Source organism: Homo sapiens, chromosome 7, assembly GCF_000001405.40.
Source record: "Homo sapiens chromosome 7, GRCh38.p14 Primary Assembly".
Classification (NCBI taxonomy): Eukaryota; Metazoa; Chordata; class Mammalia; order Primates; family Hominidae; genus Homo; species Homo sapiens.
This window is the reverse complement of record NC_000007.14, coordinates 148,484,782-148,503,786: the sequence shown is the minus strand read 5'-3', so window position 1 is coordinate 148,503,786 and position 19,005 is coordinate 148,484,782. Positions and strand designations below refer to the sequence as shown.

Below are 19,005 nucleotides of genomic sequence, written 5' to 3'. Positions count from 1 at the left end.
GGAAGAGTGAGATTAAATGGAACAGAGAGGAAGGTTGTCTTCATGTGCTGGTGGTCACAGGTCTTCGTGTGATACAGTGGGTTCCAGAGCTAGACCACCTGGACTTGGCCTTGGGCAGGTTATTAAAATCTCCGTGCCTCAGTTTCCTCATTTGTCACGGAAGTCTTGTGAGGATAAAGTGAGACAACAGAAGCAAAGTGTTCATTTTAGCACAAAGCCTGACACACCTCAAATGCCAGTATAGGTTTCCTCTTAGGATTCTGTCCCCATATAGTGCCTACTGTTTTCTCTGTCTATTGTCTCTGATGCTAATTCTATGTTCTATAGTGACGTCAACTATGAGGCCTCGGCTCTTGAAGGGCCCCGTGGAGGTGCTGGGCCTGGGTGCTGTCCGCTGGCTCACGTAGGCAGGTCTATTGCTCCACTGAAGGTGCTCCTGGCATCTAGAATATTGGGAGTCAGAATACTGGGAGTACGTCGTAGCATCTGATATAGCCAGAGCCTGTGATGGGTTACAGCCTCCAAGGTAGATATGTTGAACTCTGACCAACATTTCTGTGTCACATTCTGTCATATTGGGCCTAAGTGGTGCTACTTTATGTTTCTACTGTCTTGCTAATGAGCTACCAGAACCTGGAAAAGGCAAGGAGGATCTTCCCCAAGAAGCTTTGAAAGGAGCATGGCTCTGCCAACACCTTGATTTCAGACCTCTGGCCTCCTGAACTCTGAGAGAACAAATTTCTGTTGTTTTAAGCCACCCAGTTTGTGCTAATTTGTTACGACAGTGCTAGGAAATTGATACAGGAGGTTACTAGGGTTAAACAAATTACTTTGTAGAGGGTCCTTAAAACTGTTCTTTGCACAAATTAGAAACAGGCATATGTCAGCTGTTACTTCTTTGGGGGCAATGTAGCATAGCGGGTAACTGCATGGGCAGTTGTCACTGACAGACCAGGCTCTGCTGGAGCCTGCGGAGACCTGGCTCTGTAACTTACCAGTTGTGTGACTTTGGGGGAAGTTCTGCAACTTCTGAAGGTCACGGTTTCCTTAAGAATAAAACAGGGTAATAATAGTTGCTGTCTCCTAGGTTAATTGTAAAGATAGAGATAAAAAATGCAAGCACTTCACACACACTTGGCATTAGAATGTGAGCCCCTGATGTGGTTGGGTCAAGCACGTGCAACTGGCCTGTCCCCTTTCAGGATGGCTCACTCCCTGAGGCCACCTGGGTTCCTTATGTAATAAGGCCCTCTAGCTCCCATCCTATGGGTCCTCAAAACAAGCATGAATCCTGGGTGAGCACAGTTCAGACCAAAACCAGGAACCTCATGGTATTGTTATAGGAGTTATTAAGAAATTATTTTAGGCGGTTAGAGAGGAAAAGGGGTCCTTGGAAAATTTCTGTCTTTTTTTTTTTTTTTTTTTTTTTTTGAGACGGAGTCTAGCACTGTCCCCTGGGCTAGAATGCAATCTCAGCTCACTGCAACCTCCTCCGCCTCCTGGGTTCAAGCGATTCTCCTGCCTCAGCCTCCCGAGTAGCTGGAATTACAGGCCCCTGCCAGTAAACATGGGGTTTCACTGTGTTAGCCAGGATGGTCTCGATCTCCTGATCTCATGATCCGCCTGCCTCGGCCTCCCAAAGTGCTGGAATTACAGGCATGAGCCACCGCGTCTGTCTCTTTTAAAGTAGCTCCAGAAAAGTTTCTTGTCTAGCAGGAAAGCCCCGGCTCTTAGAGCCTGGCTAGCAACCTTTGATATGCAAATGCAAGCCATTAGAAACTGGGTCCATCCTAACATGGGGATTCCCCCCTTGTCCTCTTTCCCTGCCCCTCCATATGTGTCTGGCAGCATGGCCGCCCCCACATATCCCCACGTGTGTAGAACATCATGGCACCCTGCATTTGCATATTAAAAGATTAGGGTGAGAAGGCCGGTTTTTTTGCGGCCACGTGAATGACATGCCTGGTCAAACCAATCCTCTGAGTCCTGTGCAAATCAGACACCGCCTCCAGCCTCCTCACAGAACTGGTTGGTATCCGCGGCACTCAAGATAGTGTTTCCTATCTTGGCTTTGGAGCCCCCTCCCTCTGTCTGTGTAGGGGGAGCTGCTTCTTTCTTCTCTCTTCTGTCTTGCCTGTTAAACTCTCCATTCCTTAAAACCACTCCACGTGTGTCTGTGTCGTTTTATCTAAACCGGTGCAAGGACCAAGAACCCTGGTGTTCCTCCACTTATCTGAGCCGTGTCAGTGTAAACAAAGTGCATTTGCGTTTAAGAATTATAGGTCATTAAAAAGTTTCAGGTGTTACCATCCACATTGCAGATTGCTCCGGGAAATGCTTTGCTGGGAGCCGGGCGGGGGAACTGAGTTGTAGCCCCAGCTCCGCAACTAACCTGCTGCCTGGCATCAGGGCTCACTCATGTCACCTGTGAAATGATGCCGTTGGACAAGATCCCCTCTGAGATCTCTTTACACTCGAATATCCCCAGCTCTAGGAGGACGCAAAGGTTCCAGCTTTCAAGCCAGGACTCTAAAGTTGGTGCTGAAGGCAATCTCGGCTGCCTTCAAATCTTTTCTGTGTCCAAACTCCAGGTAGCAGCTGGCAACAAACTTGCTAATTATCTACCTGTGTATTTAACGATGCTTGTTGAGTTGCAGCCTTGAGGTTGCTCCAAGTAGCAGACCAGGCAAGTCCACGAAGGAATGATTCTGTTGTGAACAAGAACAAGATCTCTTTGAATGTCGTCCCCAGTGGCTCGCCTGGAGGCAGGTGAGAACCAGGTGCCCTCTGGGTTTCAAGAAATAAAACGTGAGTTGAACACATGGAGGAGGCATTGTAGGGGGTGGCTCAAGCATCAGCCCCCATGCTCTGGGGTGTAGTAGAATGAGTTAAAATATTTGTCGGGGGCTTTTAGTGCTGGCTCTGCTCCTGTGCTAGTTTGGGAAGTAACTTATCTTTGAGCCTCAGCTCCTCATGTGTTTAATGGAACTCAAATGCCCTCCTATATTGGGTAGGATTATTTTGGCTTCATGAAACAGAAAAACTGACTCAAACTGGTTAACAAAGAAACGTAGTCTGTCCTGTAGGCGAGATTTCATATAGCAGTGACCTCACATCCAACCATGACAGTCTCCACAGTTGTCTTTCATTGCATCTTTCTTAGGATCCAGGTATCCTAAGAGGTACCCTAAGAGGTATCCGAGTGGTATAAGGAATCTTTTTCAGCAGAGTTTTCCTGGAGGAGAAGGGATTTGAGTAATCAGCATTCACTTCTGGGCAGGGAGTGGAGTCTGTGTCCACTGCTGCTCTCAGCTGTGTAGAGTTGTGGACAAATGGCCAGAAATCCGGGGAGAAGGCGGACTGATGTGGGATGGGCTGCCTGACAGTGTGGAGCTGAGAATTAGATGATGGATGTGAACAATTTTCCCTGTGAATTTTAAAGCATCGGGTATTTCTTTTTCATGACAGGAGTTTGGATTAGATTATATCTAATGTTCCTTCTAACTCTGTATTTTTATGAATTTTCAAATAAGAGCCATTTTCACTGGTCTGATGATTTTTATAGCTGGTTCAGGAATGCTGTTGGATAACAGAATGCTGGCTAGTCACTTGCTTGGGGCACCAATACAGCAGCAGTAAAAATAACAATAACGAAAACCACCATTACCACCATCAAAAAACCCATTCACAACCCAGATGAGAAACTTCTAGGGGAAAGCCTTTAAAACAATTTTGGCATTCCTGTGTGCTGTGTGTCATTTTGCAAAACAATATTTTTTTGTGGCTTAGTCTTATTTTTATTTTAAATCCATATAGGGGTATCATGATGTTTTCATGCTCAGGGGTGTTGATCCATACCTTTTCAAAACTGGAAAATGTTACAGCTATTTATCAATGAAATGAGAGGTTTTTAAAATTTACTTTTTCTATATAATAATCATGTAATTTTTGGCCAGGCACTGTGGCTCATGCCTGTAATCCCAGCACTTTGGGAGGCTGAGGCGGGTGGATCACCTGAGGTCAGGAGTTCAAGACCAGCCTAGCCAATGTGGTGAAACCCCGTCTCTACTAAAAATAGAAAACTTAGTTGAGTATGGTGGTGGGTGCCTGTTATCCCAGCTACTCAGGAAGCTGAGGCGGGAGAGTCGCTTGAACCCAGTAGGTGGAGGTTGCAGTAAGCCAAGATTGCACCACTGCACTCCAGCCTGTGCGACAGAGCGAGACTCCGTCTCAAAATAATAATAATAATAATAATCACATAATTTTTTCTACATTTTGAAATGTGAGGATAAAAAATTGTAACTCTGAAAGGGGAACTGTCTTCTACCAGGCAGTAATGTCATTAGTAGAGAGGCAGATAGCCTTGCCTTTGGTCCTAATATTCCTATTAATGATTTCGATATAGATGCAGAAGAAATGACTGTCAAGTGTGGGCTTATGAGACAAAAGTGGGAAGACAGACCTAATATATAGAAGAAAGTCTTAATCCAAATGATTTCAATAGGCTATCATGCTGAACTGAAACCAATAAAGTGAATTTCAGTAGAAATAAATAGTTTAGCACTTAAATTTTACTTAATAAAGGAAAGAGAAAAAAAAATCGGGTATTTTAGCTTATCTCAGGTCCACCCTGAGTTAGCAGCTGGAGAAGGCCGCACCAGTCACAGTCAGCATTAATCAGAGTGGAGAGTCCAGATTCTGTATTTGGTACCACTCAGGTAACACCTGGCTGCTGTATTTTAAGAAGGGCAAACTGAAGTAATTAAGTAATAAAATAGTTATGATTGTCCCCAACATAAGCAAACTAATCTACTAAGTCCTCAATATATGTTATCTCTGATTTTCAGAGAGTCCTGGAAAAATAGACACTATTGTTCACATTTTACAGAAAAGGAAAATTAACCAGAGAGATCATCACACACTCTCTTCCTACCCTCCCAACTCCTTGACCAAGGTAGGAAGTTTAGTTCAAGCTTATGTGCTATTTTTATTAAGCTTGGGATGTCACCTGAAGGGCATAGGGCTTGGAACAAATTCTTTCATCATACTGTAGGGCAGCGGTCCCCCATCTTTTTGGCTGGCACCAGGGACCAGTTTCATGGAAGACAGTTTTCTCACAGACAAGGGAGTGGGGGTTGGTTTTGGCATGAAATTGCTCCACCTCAGATCATCAGGCATTAGTTAGATTCTCATAAGGAGCATGCACAGTTCCCTCGAATGCACAGTTCACAATAGGGTTTGTACTCCTATGAGAACCTAATGCTGTCGCTGATCTGAGAGGAGGCGGAGCTCAGGTGGTAATGCTCTCTTGTACCCCATTCACCTCCTGCTATGCAGCCCAGTTTCTAACAGACCATGGTCCTGGGGATTGGGAACCCCTGGTGTAGGGGATCAGAATATGTCACCCCAAAATATACCACTCTGGCCTAAGGATTGTTTTGAGCTGAAGACAATTGTGGAAGAGCAGATGCCAAAAAAAGCATTCTCTGCCTCCCCCTGCCTGGTAAAAGTAGGCTTAGACTTATTTGCTTCAAGACAGCGCGAAGGAATCTATACAACAAACATTCCTAAAATAACCTGCATCTTCTGTTAGCTTCCTCTGTACATTTACCTTCCCATAGTGTGCGGTCCCTAAAAGCCTAAACCCCTTAGTGTTGTCATTTCTCTACAAATTTACTGTTCTTTGTTAAGATGCTATAGAACCTTAAGTTCTAATCATCCCTTCCAGTTATTGGTCACTACCTTTCTCCTGCATGGATACATGCTGTGTATATGAATACACTGTACTTCCTTCTGGTTAGTCTATCTTTTGCCAGTTTAATTTCAAGAGCCCCAGCTGGAGAACCTAGAAGTACAGAGAAAAAAGTTTTCCTCCTCTACAATGTGTTTACTGGAAGGGTGAAATGTACAACACCTGAATCAGCAAGAGATGAGAAGGCCTGGTCCCCACCCTCCGTCATTCCACGGAGAGGAATGGTGGGAGGCGGGGGCCTCCCCACCCTCCCCTGGTCCACAGAGGAGAATTGCGGGGCACAGGCACTCTGCAGGACATGCAGCGTGGGAATCTCTGTTCCAGGGGAGCACATACCTCCTTACTGCCTTCTCCCCACTTAAAGGCAAGCAAAGGGGAATGCTGACAGTAGGAGAATAGTAGATCTAATTTGGATTGAGATTCTACAAACCTGGAAATGTGGTTAGTGTACTCTCACAGTAATTCACCTGACATATGGTTTGTCTTATCTGTTTTGTGTTGTTATAAAGGAATATCTGAGGCTGGGTAATTTATAAAGAAAAAGGTGTCTTTGGCTCATGGTTCTCATGTCTGGGAAAGTTCAAGGCTGGGCCTCTGCATCTGGTAAGGGCAGAAGCTGCCTTCATTTCATGGAAGAAGGTGAAGGGGAGCTGGTGTGTGCAGATCACACGGCAAGACAGGAAGCAAGAGAGAGAGACAGAGGGGAGGTAACAGGCTCCTTTTAGCCATCAGCTCTCATGGGAATTGACAGAACGAGAATTCACTCACCCCCACCCACCTCCTGGAGGGGATTAATCTATTCATGAGGGATCCACCCCCATGACCCAAACACCTCCCATTAGGCCTCACCTCCAACACTGGAGATCAGACTCCAACATTAGATTTGGAAGGGACAAGCATCCAAGCTGTAGCATGGTTCCAGGTTGGAAATCATTTTCCCTTCAACATTCGAAGGCAGTGCACTCAGTGTTGCTGTTGAGAAATCTGAAGCCGTGCAGATTCCCATCTCCGGGTGAGTATGTGCCCTATTTTTCTCCCTATCTGGAAACTTGAAGGACCTATTCTTTGGCCTTGCTGTTCTGAAACATGACGTACCTCTATGTGGATCACTTTCATGTATTTTGCAGGCCATGAGATGGACTTATATATCTGGAAATTCAGGTCTCTAACTTTTGGAAAAATTTCTTTCCAACTCCCTGGCTGGAAGAGTATGAGCCTGGCTGGCTAACCTTCTGGGAGCTGAGTCAGGGAAGAAATCTGGGGGTGGGGAGGGTTTGCAATGCAGGAATCAAGCTTCATATTCAGTAGGTAAACTTTTACTTACTCTGCCTGTGTTTTCAAGAGGTACCTGGTGCCATCAATTCCTGAGCCTTTACGGGATTCTCCAGTGCCATGTGGGCTGCTTCTCGGCCCTTCCTGCTGCTTTTCAGCCTCCAGAATGATCTCAACTCCAGTTCTCTGTTTCTCTGTCTCTTAAAATCTTAGTCAGGTTGTGGGAGGGATTAGAGGTAAATGGCATGTGTTCAGTTCCATCCATCCATCCATCCATTTATTTATTTATTTATTTGGCAGAATCTCGCTCTGTTGCCCAGGCTGGAGTGCAATGGCACGATCTTGGCTCACTGCAACCTCTGCCTCCAGCAATTCTCCCTGCCTCAGCCTCCCGAGTAGCTGGGATTACAGGCGCATGCCACCACACCCAGCTTATTTTTGTATTTTTAGTAGAGACGGGGTTTCGCCATGTTGGCCAAGCTGGTCTTGAACTCCTAAAGTCAGGTGATCCACCCACCTCGGCCTCCCGAAGTGCTGGGATTACAAGGATGAGCCACTGCGCCCAGCCAGTTCTTCATATTTAATGGTATATCTTTCTTTTTACATGCACTAACTCATGAATCTTCCCAACTATCCTGTGGGGTAAGGACCATTATCCCACTTTTACAGATGAAGAAACTGAGGCAGAGAAATGCCAAGTGACTTGCCCAGACAAACACAGCTAGGAAGTGGCAGACCCAGAATAGGAACCCAGGGATCTGACGCCAGGAACCAGACTCTTAGTCACGATGCTATTCCCCCCACTGACAACTTAACACATTATAGTACAGGGATAAGAAAGGTAGAAACTGACAAAACAGAGAGAATGGGAGGGAAGCAATGTGATGGGAGGTTTCATCAGTTTTCTTGGAAATGCACAGTGAGAGGGAGAGTGTTGACCAGTGGAATGGGGAGTGGCACCTTAGAATACTGGAGTATGGGTGAGCCATAGAGGGGGTGATCAGCTTGGTGGAAGTTAGTGCAGGCTCCTGACTTGAATATTGAAATATTTAAGGGTGGGAGCAGGAAGCAGGGCTGATAACGGAGAGTCCAGGCTATGCGCTCAGTTCTTGGGAGGTGAAAAAAATCATGCTCTTTTTTTATGTTCTACTGTGCCAGTAAAATGGCAAGTATTTCACCTTCTTACTGTAGAGCGATCATTGTCCAGCATTTGTGTGCTTCAGAATTACCAGGAGCGTTGTTAAAATAGATTGCCGAGCTCCACCTGCCAGAAGTTTTAGGGGATTCAGGACATCTGGAGTGGGACCTGAGTATTTGGATTTCTTTTTTTTTTTTTTTTTTTTTGAGATGGAGTTTCATGTTGTCACCCAGGCTGGGGTGCGGTGGTGCGATTTCAGCTCACTGCAACCTTGGCCTCCTGGGTTCAAGTGATTCTCCTGCCTCAGCCTCCCTAGTAGCTGGGATTATAGGTACATGCCACCACACCTGGCTAAGTTTTGTATTTTTAGTAGAGATGGGGTTTCATTGTGTTGGCCAGGCTGGTCTCGAACTCCGGACCTTGTGATCCACTTGCCTCAGCCTCCCAAAGTGCTGGGATTACAAGCGTGAGCCACCGCTCCTGGCCTGGATTTCTAAGTAATTCTCAAGTAGGATGATGAGATGATGGTTTCCAACCAGGGGGTGATTTTAGCCCTAAGTAGACATTTGGCAATATCTAGAGACATTTTTGATAGTCACCACAAGAAGGGCAAGGCTGTTGGCATCCAGTGGGTTGAGGCCAGGGATGCTATTAGGTCAGCCCCATAACAAAGACTTGGGCCTAAGCATCAGTAGTGTCAAGGTTGAGAAGCCCTAATCTGGAGTAAAGCCTACTTGTCAACAGTGCTAACAGGCCGTACCTTTGACAAGAAACTCCCAGTTACCTTTTCTATTACCTCATTAAAAAAAGTATGGCCAGGCTGGGCATAGTAGCTCACACCTGTAATCCCAGCACTTTGGGAGGTCGAGGCAGTGGGTCCCTTGAGCCCAGAAGTTTGAGGTCAGCATGGGCAACATGGCGAGATCCTATCTTTACAAAAAATACAAAAATTAGCCAGGTGTGGTGGGGTGCACCTGTAGTCCGAGCTACTTGCGGGGCTGAGATGGGAGGATCACCTGATGGCAGGTAGATTGAGGTTGCTGTGAGCCATGAGCACACCACTGCATTCCAGCCTGGGCAATAGAGTGAGATCCTGTCTCAAATAAGTAAGTAAATAAATAAATATTACAAATACGGTCATACAGTTGAGGAAAGAATATGATACGGAAAAGAAATATCTGTTGCTATGGTTTGGATGTGGTTTGTCTCCACTAAAACTCATGTGGAAGTTTAATTGCCAGCTGGCAGTGTTGGGAGGTGGGGCCCAATGGGAGGTGTTTGGGTCATGGGGACAGATCCCTAATTAATAGAAAAATGGTGTCTCTCATGGGAGTGAGTTCTCCCAGGAATGATCTGGTTCCCACGAGTTCCTTGCTTGTGTTCACTTCCCCTTTGGCCTTCTCTGCCGTGTTTTGATGTAGCACGTGGCCCTCACCAGAAGTTGAGTAGATACTAGGGCCATTCCCCTTGAACTTCTCAGGCTGCAGAATGATGTGCTAAATAAACCTCTTTATAAATTACTCGGTGTCAGGTTTTCTGTTATAGCAAAACAAAACAGACTAAGACACCTATATTTACTGATTAAAAAACCCTTGGAGGAGGCCGGGTGTGGTGGCTCATGCCTATAATCCCAGCACTTTGGGAGGCCAAGGCAGGCAGATCATTTGAGGTCAGGAGTTTGAGATCAGCCTGACCAACATGGTGAAACCCTGCCTCTACTAAAAATACAAAAAATTAGCCACGTGTGGTCATGCATGCCTGTAATCTCAGCTACTTAGGAGGCTGAGGCAGGGGAGTCTCTTGAACCTGGGAGGCAGAGGTTGCAGTGAGCCAAGATTGTGCCACTGCACTCCAGCCTGGGTGACACAGGGATATTCCATCTCAAACAAACAAACAAACAACAACAACAACAAAAAACAAAACAAAAAAACTTTGGAGGAATCAGACATAATACAGGTAACCAAAGAGAATTAAAAGCATGTACAAAAAGACATACCACAGTAAAAAATAACTTTCGTTGTTATCTTCAGAGAAATTTGAGAAGATATTTGTCTGTGTGTAAAATGTCAAAAAAAAAAAAAAAAAAAGAACAATTAGAGAATGGAAGATCTTCTGGAAGTGAAAAATATAACTGCCAATTTTGAAATTCAATGGTAAGGGTGGATTGGATTTTCTGTTTGTCCCTCCAGATCTATTCTGTTCTTTTCTACCTTACTGTGTGCCTGGGAGACTGACTTGTACAAATTGTATTATCTGGGCTTTGTTGCTTCTGACTTCTGGTTGAGTTTGGCCAAAGAAACGCCAGTTGATTAGAGGGCAAGAAAGCATGATCAATCTTTATTATTCTTGGATTCCACATATGTGAATTCACCTATTCACTAATTTATTCATCACCCCAAAGTCAGTGCTTATGGACTTCTTTTGTCATTTACAGACAGGCACAGAGTGGCAAAAAATTTGAGTTGCTGGATACACACTTCCCAGCTGAGGTGGAACCAGGCAATGCTCTCCCTTCTTGTTTAAGCTCGCACAGTATAAACAGGTGTCCTTTTCTCAGTCTATTTAGTGCCATACTTTTACATTTAGTGGATTTTTTTTTTTTTTTTTTTTTGGTGATTTCAGTGTTTAAAATGCCCCAAGTGTCTACTGTTCCTAAGTGTGAGAAAGCTGTGATGTGGTGCCTTATGGAAAAAAACACAGATTAGATAACCTTTGTTCAGACATGTATGATAAGGGCTATTAGCCATGAGTTTAATGTTAATGGATCCACAACATACATTAAATATGATGTCTTTAAACAGAAACACACATAAAACAAGGTTATGAATTAAATATTGGCAATAATGTGACCAGAAGCTTACAGGAACCTAACCCCGTAATTCTCCTAGGAACAGTATTTGCTGATTCAGTGCTTGTGGTGACTTGATAGAACATAGCTACCATGAATAATGAGAATCTTCAGTACTCTGCTGAGTGTGGTTTTGGCAATGGCTGGTTTTCTCTGCTGTGGCCACAATTCCTGCCAGATGGTCCTTCATTCATGGCTGCAGCTCATTTTCCAATAACTTTGCTTTTTTTCCAGACCCTTTCAGGTTTAGGGGTGATAATGGCTTTGCACTGTTGCTAATCTATGAGAACTTCACCATTCTTTGTTGGTTCTTTAGCACTGACCGTAACTCTACAAATAGTTGCCTTATTAAATTTTCCTCACTTACCTTTTGCATGTGCCATCTGTTTCCTTCCAGGATCTTGATGACTCAGTTGGTAGAAAATGTACTCAAGCTAGTCTCTCATAATAAAGAACAAAATGTAATGAGATTTTTTTAAAGTATGAGGAAAGAAAAGTTATGTAACATGAGTCTAGGAGCTAGAATCCTGACTAACAAGAATTCTAGATAGAGAGAAGAGGCTGGAAAATATCACTGATATAATACAAGAACATTTCCCGGAACTAAAGGAGAACATAAATATTCAAAGTGAAAGATCTATACAGAATAAATTTTAAAAGCCCTCATTTAGATATTCAGGGAATTAAGTATAAAGATAAGAAATCAAAGACTTCAGGGAGGAAACAAAAAGATTACCTACCAATGAACAGGAATCATACTGACATATGATATCTCATCAACAGCCATTGATGCTATAAGAAAATGGAAAAATGCCATCAAATTTCTGAAGAGAATTGATTTCAATTCTATACCAATCTAAATCATCAAATGTAAAATAAGAATAACAATCTTCTTATATAATTAAAAACTCAAAATATTGACTTTACAGGCACAAAGCACCTTTTCTTTGGGAGTTACTTGCAGATGTAATTCAGCAAAATGAGAAAGTAAAACAATAAATACTAACATGAGTTTTAGGAAATAGTACATTCAATCTAGAAGAAAAGTTCCCAGATAACAACTACATAGAAGGCCTCCAGAGCAACTAGTCCACGTAAGGAGAGGAGCATGGAGACCATCAGAGAATGATCTAGAAAAAACAAGAGAGGGGAATTTGATAGAAAATTGTATGATCAATGGCTTGGAAAAGTCTGAGAATAAGACCAAGCCATAGAATGAAGGAAAAATTCCAGGAAACAACAACAACAAATTATACAAGAAAGGCACAAGTCAAAAAGAAAACCAAACTGTGGCACAATGATTTTGAATAATTGGAGTAAACTGTTAAAATAGTCGAGCAGTCCTTAAGCGGCAGCATCCACTGAAACTACTAAGTTGCTTGATTCGCCATACTGTAGAGCTTCAGCCAGTAAGGAGAAATGAGCCCAGGGGACTTGGATTATTACTCACAGTACAGCAGGCTCCGTGGACTCCATGTTTGCCTTGCTCCCCTTTGCCCCCAGGTCTCATGGGGACAGTGTGGAGCAGGCTTAGGTGGATGTTGCACATACAGTGGGTTCGTGCACAGCTGAGTAACATGCAGATGGGAGATCTTGATCTTCTACAGGTATAGCCATCAAAGCTGCCTCTTCTCCTTCCAAGTAGAGATGTTGGCTTCATTACCCAGGAATATCTCAGGGGAGGAAAAGGAGGGCTGTCCAGCTGTATTACCCTAGAACGTGTCTGGGAGAGGTTGCTTTAAATTGAAGGGAGGAAATCACTGTTATTATAAACAAATCTGCCCTCTGTCCCAGAGGGGAGATACTACCTCTAGGTTCCAAGGTTGTCTGTTATCCAAACATCTTTGAACAAAGCTGTTGGTGTCCTTTGCTCAGAAGATGTTTCTGGTGCAGAAGGATCAGCAATTATCTCCCAACATATACAAAGAGAGAATGCATTTGGACGTGTTGCTGGTGCAGTCTCTTTTGTGTAGCATAGGGGAGAAGGAAGCGTGATCATAGCACACTACTTGATTTTATAGTGATAATATTTACATAGCTGCCATCACATAAGTGGCATTTATTGGTTTTCAATTTTAGAATCAATCTAGAGACAACTCATGAAATTCTCAGAAGTATTTCATATAAAGACCATAAGTGTTGGCCGGGTGCAGTGGCTCACTCCTGTAATTCCAGCACTTTGGGAGGCTGAGGCGGGCAGATCACCTGAAGTCAGGAGTTCCAGATCAGCCTGGCCAATGTGGTGAAACCCCGTCTCTAGTAAAAATACAAAAATTAGCTGGCTGTGGTGGCGGGTGCCTTAATCTTAGCTACTTAGGAGGCTGAGGCAGGAGAATCGCTTGAACCCTGGAGGCAGATGTTGCAGTGAGCCGAGATCACACCACTGCACTCCAGCCTGGGTGACAGAGTAAGACTCCATCTCAAAAAAACAAACAAACAAACAAAAAACCCCGTAAGTGTTGATAATATAAAAGGAAAAGCAGAGGCACAGAGACTGGGAGGTTGGGGGATGGAGTGGAGGGGCTGACACCCCCAAAGGTGGGAGCACCATCACTTCGTTTCGTTTCACCAGGTCTTTGATAGGAATGGAAGCTGACACTTGCTGAATGGGACCATGGGTCAACATCGTGCTGAGTGCTCTCCATGTGGCACCTTTTGACCCACAAACTTATTCACAACAAGCAGGCATTAGTATTAACTCCACCTTATAGGGGGAATACCAATGTACCCAGAGATTAAGTATATTGCTCAAGGTCACACGGATGGAGAAACGGTGGGTTTACTGTGATATTTGACACTTCAGAGGTGACTATGGGAAGAAATGAGATTAGAGGCAGCTGAGTCTGGGTGAGTAGGACACCACGGGAAAGGTGAGTGGTGGAGCTGGAGAGTGCAGGAACAGGAGGCCGGGCACAGGGAGTGAGCTGCCTAAGGTGGCTGGGCAGAGGGCTTCGTGAAAAAGGAAGGCATTCCGAAAGGTGTGGGCTGTGGAGTGTTGTGAGAGGAAGGATAGATAAGACTTTACCATTTCACCTGAAGCTACTTTCCTGATCCCCACCTTCCAGATGGATTGGAAGTGAATGACAGAGACAGAGACAGAGACAGAGGTGTACATCTATAAATAAATACCCCCGGCTTCCAACACATAACATACCCAAAGCATACAGACTGTGTTTCTACTTTTGGAAGAGTGGTGTCCACATTTTCCAGCCACATATTCTTTAGATTTGTAATCTATTTCATCACCTGCCTTTCTGCTTTTATTCCTGTGTTTTACTCCTCAGTCATCAGTTTATATTTACATTATTTGCTTATATTTACATGATTATGTTAACGTGTTTTCACTTCTACCTTTGAAAAACCCAGTCCTAGTTCTTTGTTTTTCTACTTTTAATGATGTTTAATGATGCAAAATATGTAGATTACATTTTAAATCATATATGAAAAAGGAGGAAAAAAATGGAACACTACAATTTCACATATATTTTTTTTTATAAAAAGGGGAAAAGATTGGCCAAGTATGGTGGCTCACACTTGTAATCCCAGGACTTTTGGAGGCAGAGGTGGGCAGATTGCTTGAGCCCAGTTTGAGACCAGCTTGGGCAATATAGTGAGACTCCGTCTCTATAATAAATACAAAAATTAGTGGGGTGTGGTGGCATGGGCCTGTAGTCTCAGCTACTTGAGAGGTTGAGGTTGAGGGGATGGCTTGAGCCTGGGAGGTCAAGACTGCAGTGAGCTAAGATCATGCCACTGTACTCCAGCCTGGGCAACAGAGAGAGACCCTGTCTGGAAAAATATATATGTAATAATAAAAAGGGGAAAAGAGGAAAATTTGCTCACTGTTTTAAGTAAACTGATAAGTGTTTTCTTAACAGTTATGAGCATCTTTCAAAAGAAACACAGTAAATCCCGTAACTACAACATCTTTATCTTTTAAAACTCCCCCTGAAGCAGCCGGGCACGGTGGCTCACGCCTGTAATCCCAGCACTTTGGGAGGCTGAGACAGGTGGATCACAAGGTCAGGAAATCGAGACCATCCTGGCTAACATGGTGAAACCCCGTCTCTACTAGAAATAGAAAAATTAGCCAGGTGTGATGGCAGGCACCTGTAGTCCCAGCTACTTAGGAGGCTGAGGCAGGAGAATGGCGTGAACCCAGGAGGCGGAGCTTGCAGTGAGCCGAGATCGTGCCACTGCACTCCAGCCTGGACAACAGAGCCAGACTCCATCTCAAAAAACAACAACAACAAAAAAACAACAAAATTCCCCCTGAAGCAAAACAGAATTATTTAACCATGTATGCATGTATTTGCCCTTGACTGCAGTGTTGCTGAGTGTTTGAATCCTGTAGAAGAGAGGAACGTGGCCCTGTGTCCCACTTTATCCTGTGTCCAGGATGAAACCGACCCTGAAGGACATTTCCTCTTGTTTTTTCTCTTTATCCACACTGAGGGCCCAACAGCAAAAAGATGGATGCACTCACATTGCAGTGAGACCCACTGCTGATTTGGACACCTGCAGCTCTTTCTGGAGCTTAGTGAGATTCCTGGGGAGGGAGGAGGGTGCAGTTTGTGGTCCACCTTCTCTTTCACTGCTTCCGTCTTGGGGGAGCACTTTGAACTTCAGCTGTAGAAAGGGTTAATCCATTACTGGCTCTTTTCCAAAGCTCATGCGGAATGCTGTAGTGCATCAATAGGCCTGAAACACTCAAGTCTATGGTAAAAGAGAGGGAGCCAGAAGGGGCCTTAATGGAACAAGGCTGGATGTGGTTGAAAGGAAGCAAGTGTTCTGAGGAAGAGGCCTGATGGCTTCAGAAAGAGAAGTGTTTTCCCCTCTCGCCATAGGCATTGCCCTACGGCTCTCAGTAGAGTGGCTTAAACCAACCAATAGATATTACATCTATCCATATGATCATATATGATTCCAATGGTTTTATATATAGATGTAATCATATTGATATGATCATATATACATGATAATTCTATTTATGTGAATCTCAAATTTATATTTCTAGCCCTGTGTTCTTGATTTGTATAACCAACCACCTGCTTGCCTGCAGGCATCTCAAACATAATATGTCCACAATGGAACTCTTGGTTTGCAACTCCTCACCGTCTCCTGCAACTTGTTCTTCCTCCATCTCCAATCATTCAAGCCTAAAATCTTTGAGAGATCTTACATCTAGGGTATAATATAATTTAGTTAATACTTCACTTAATATTGGACTTTTAAGATGATACATATTCTTGGCTCTTATAAAATATACTTTAAATATCTTTGTGCATAAAGCTTTGTTTGCATTTCTGATTATGTCTTTTGAGTATTGAGAAAAATCAGTCTATTCCTGATTTGCTGAGCTCAGAGCAAAAGTAAAAATGTGTCTAGATATTTAAGTTATAAATCAAGCAAACAAATTGATAATTTATATAAGATATATTCTAGCCATCTACCTTGACAAATATACCTTCAAAATGGCCTGAAATACAAGGTTTGAATTTAGAATTTGTAGGTTCCTTGGAGTTCTGTAATGGAACATGCTGGCGTGGGGAGAACGGACCCCAGGCACTGACCCGGGGCCTGACCGCCTCCTCTTCCCACCCCCAGCTTTGTCTCTCACTGGGAGGGGGCTTGTGCGCATGCGTGTTGGCACCTCAGCCTGCACACTGAAGCTTCTAGGGCTGACCACACTTTCCCTTCCCATAAACCTTCACGCCTTGCTACCCTTTGGGTGATATGCTCAGGTCCTGGAAGCTGGCTTAGGACTGCTTGGGCAGGGAATTCCAGAGTTCCAGGAAGCTGGAGTGTGATCTAGGGGGATTGGTGAGGCATGGGCATGTTCCCTGATCTCTTCCTACTCCTTGCCTGGTGGGGAGATGACACCCGCGGCAGGGTGGGAAGGGAGGGGCTCTCCAAAGCGCAAGGCTAGGGAAAGGCCCCACTTCTGCAGCTTGAAAGTCAGTATGGTGGCCAGGCGCGGTGGCTCACCCCTGTAATGCCAGCACTTTGGGAGGCCGAGGTGGGCGGATCACAAGGTCAGGAGATTGAGACCATCCTGGCTAAGACGGTGAAATCCCGTCTCTACTAAAAATACAAAAAATTAGCTAGGCGTGGTGGCGGGTGCCTGTAGTCCCAGCTACTTGGGAGGCTGAGGCTGGAGAATGACGTGCACCCGGGAGGCGGAGCTTGCATTGAGCGGAGATGGCGCCACTGCACTCCAGCCTGGGCGACAGACTGAGACTCTGTCTCAAAAAAAAAAAAAAAAAAAAAAAAAAAAAGTCAGTATGGGCAGGAAGTCCTGGCTCTAAGCATATGATCAATTTCCGAGTTGCTTTCCAGAAAGATTAGACCAGTTTACCTGCCCATTTATTGAAGGGCTCCAGGTATCAAGAGAGTTTCCAGTGGTCTACTAGACACGTGACCTTGGGCAAGTTAAGCATCCTCTTCAGGACTCAGTTTCCCCATCTGTAAAACAACTTCTTTCTAGCTCTAACCTTCTCTGGCTCTCTGAAACCAAGCCCTGTGCTTTAGCCGTTCATGGCCTGAGTTTCTTAAACCTCCTTTAGTGTGTGGATGGGGGTCCCCCAGTGCTCTTATCCAAACACATATAGGTGCACACCATGGCTTGTCAGAATAACTTTCTACCAGACCAGGAGCTGGCACCCGGAACTACGCAGGTTTTCTTCCAGCTTCGGCAATCCATAACAATTTAAGAAAAACAGAGGCAGTTTGCTTGCAACAAGGGCAACTTTGCGTCCTCCTTTTAATTTTTCCTCTCCTTTAGCCATCTGTAATGAATATACGGCTATAAAACAAGGCAGTCACACCCTCTCTGGTTCCAGGAGCACTAAATCCTTAGCGCCTCTGTGGTTATCTAGAAGATTTTATTGCATTTCACTGCAAAGAGCTGCCCCATGTTTATCCTTTGCTTCACCTACCATTTTTATAACATAAAGGAGAGATTTATGTTCAAATCCGGGAACATTTTTAGCTGACTTGGAGCTACATATGTAGTGCTTTGTAAAGAAAGACTTTTAGTTTCCTGAAGATGGCACTGTAATTTTACTTCTGTTCACACATTTCATCACATATGGAAATTTACATTCTGCCTAGTATGTGTGCACAGAGATTCATTAAAGTGAAAAATATCTGATAATAACTGTGCACCAACAGAAATGCATATCATGGAGATGTAAAATTTATTATAAAAAATGTAGAAAGGGAACTCATGATCAAAAGTGAAAGTTAATGGCTTTGGCTTATAAGATGTTGTTTTTTGACACCCTCTTCCTAAAGGACACAGAGATGGATTCTGTAGAGATAAACTAAAGTTAAAATTAATCAAGTGATCAGAAAATAACCTAAGGAAACCCATTTTGCTATGTTTTCAGTTCTCTTGTCTGCCACCTTAATATCATTTAGGCAAAGTCTGAATCAAATAAGTGATTTAATCAATGAGTATTTACGGTGTATTAATTCTCAGACATAGTGACTGAAATCTCAGTTGAACCTGAATGTCCTGATAATCTCTGCCCAGGAAGAGTGGGTGACTCTTCCCAAAAGGACCACATCCTACCTCTCCAAAGACTCATATGACAACCCAAAGATCTGCCAGCCTGCCTTCAGACTTTGGTGGAGTTGTGATACTTAGGCTGCAAATTCCAGGGACAGAACTGACCCCTGTTCCAGTGGAAAACAGAGTGGCTGGTGGCTTTGAGCAGCTGGGTGCTTTGGAGCCTGCCCTCAACTCTCTCACGCCAGGTGCGGTGGGAGCCTGCCAGAGCCCAGCCTCCATCCTCCACCAAAAAAGACCTCATGCCTGTGAAAGAAAGTGCCCTTTCCCAGTAATTTTCAAACTTATCTAGGTGACAGAACAACTTGCAAGTTTTGAGCTCCTTGGACAGGGGAGAAGAACATCATCATACCAATATATTAAAACTAATGTAATTAGAGGAGTTTGTGCTTAAATGAGATAATATCTTGTCCTACATTGCA

General features: G+C 44.1%; 3 annotated features.

Annotated features, from left to right (window-relative positions):
* Positions 1,370-2,072: an enhancer, noted in NCBI's record as "OCT4-NANOG-H3K27ac hESC enhancer chr7:148198807-148199509 (GRCh37/hg19 assembly coordinates)". NCBI's record gives its function as "activates a minimal SCP1, AML or CMV promoter by ChIP-STARR-seq in naive H9 embryonic stem cells {active_cell/tissue: H9 hESC(naive)}" and the evidence as "EXISTENCE:reporter gene assay evidence [ECO:0000049][PMID:30033119]".
* Positions 1,441-1,490: a silencer, noted in NCBI's record as "silent region_18732". NCBI's record gives its function as "represses an Ori minimal core promoter by ATAC-STARR-seq in GM12878 lymphoblastoid cells {active_cell/tissue: GM12878}" and the evidence as "EXISTENCE:reporter gene assay evidence [ECO:0000049][PMID:35858748]".
* Positions 1,656-1,950: an enhancer, noted in NCBI's record as "tiled region #8846; HepG2 Activating non-DNase unmatched - State 22:ReprW". NCBI's record gives its function as "activates a minimal TATA promoter and a strong SV40 promoter by Sharpr-MPRA in HepG2 cells {active_cell/tissue: HepG2}" and the evidence as "EXISTENCE:reporter gene assay evidence [ECO:0000049][PMID:27701403]".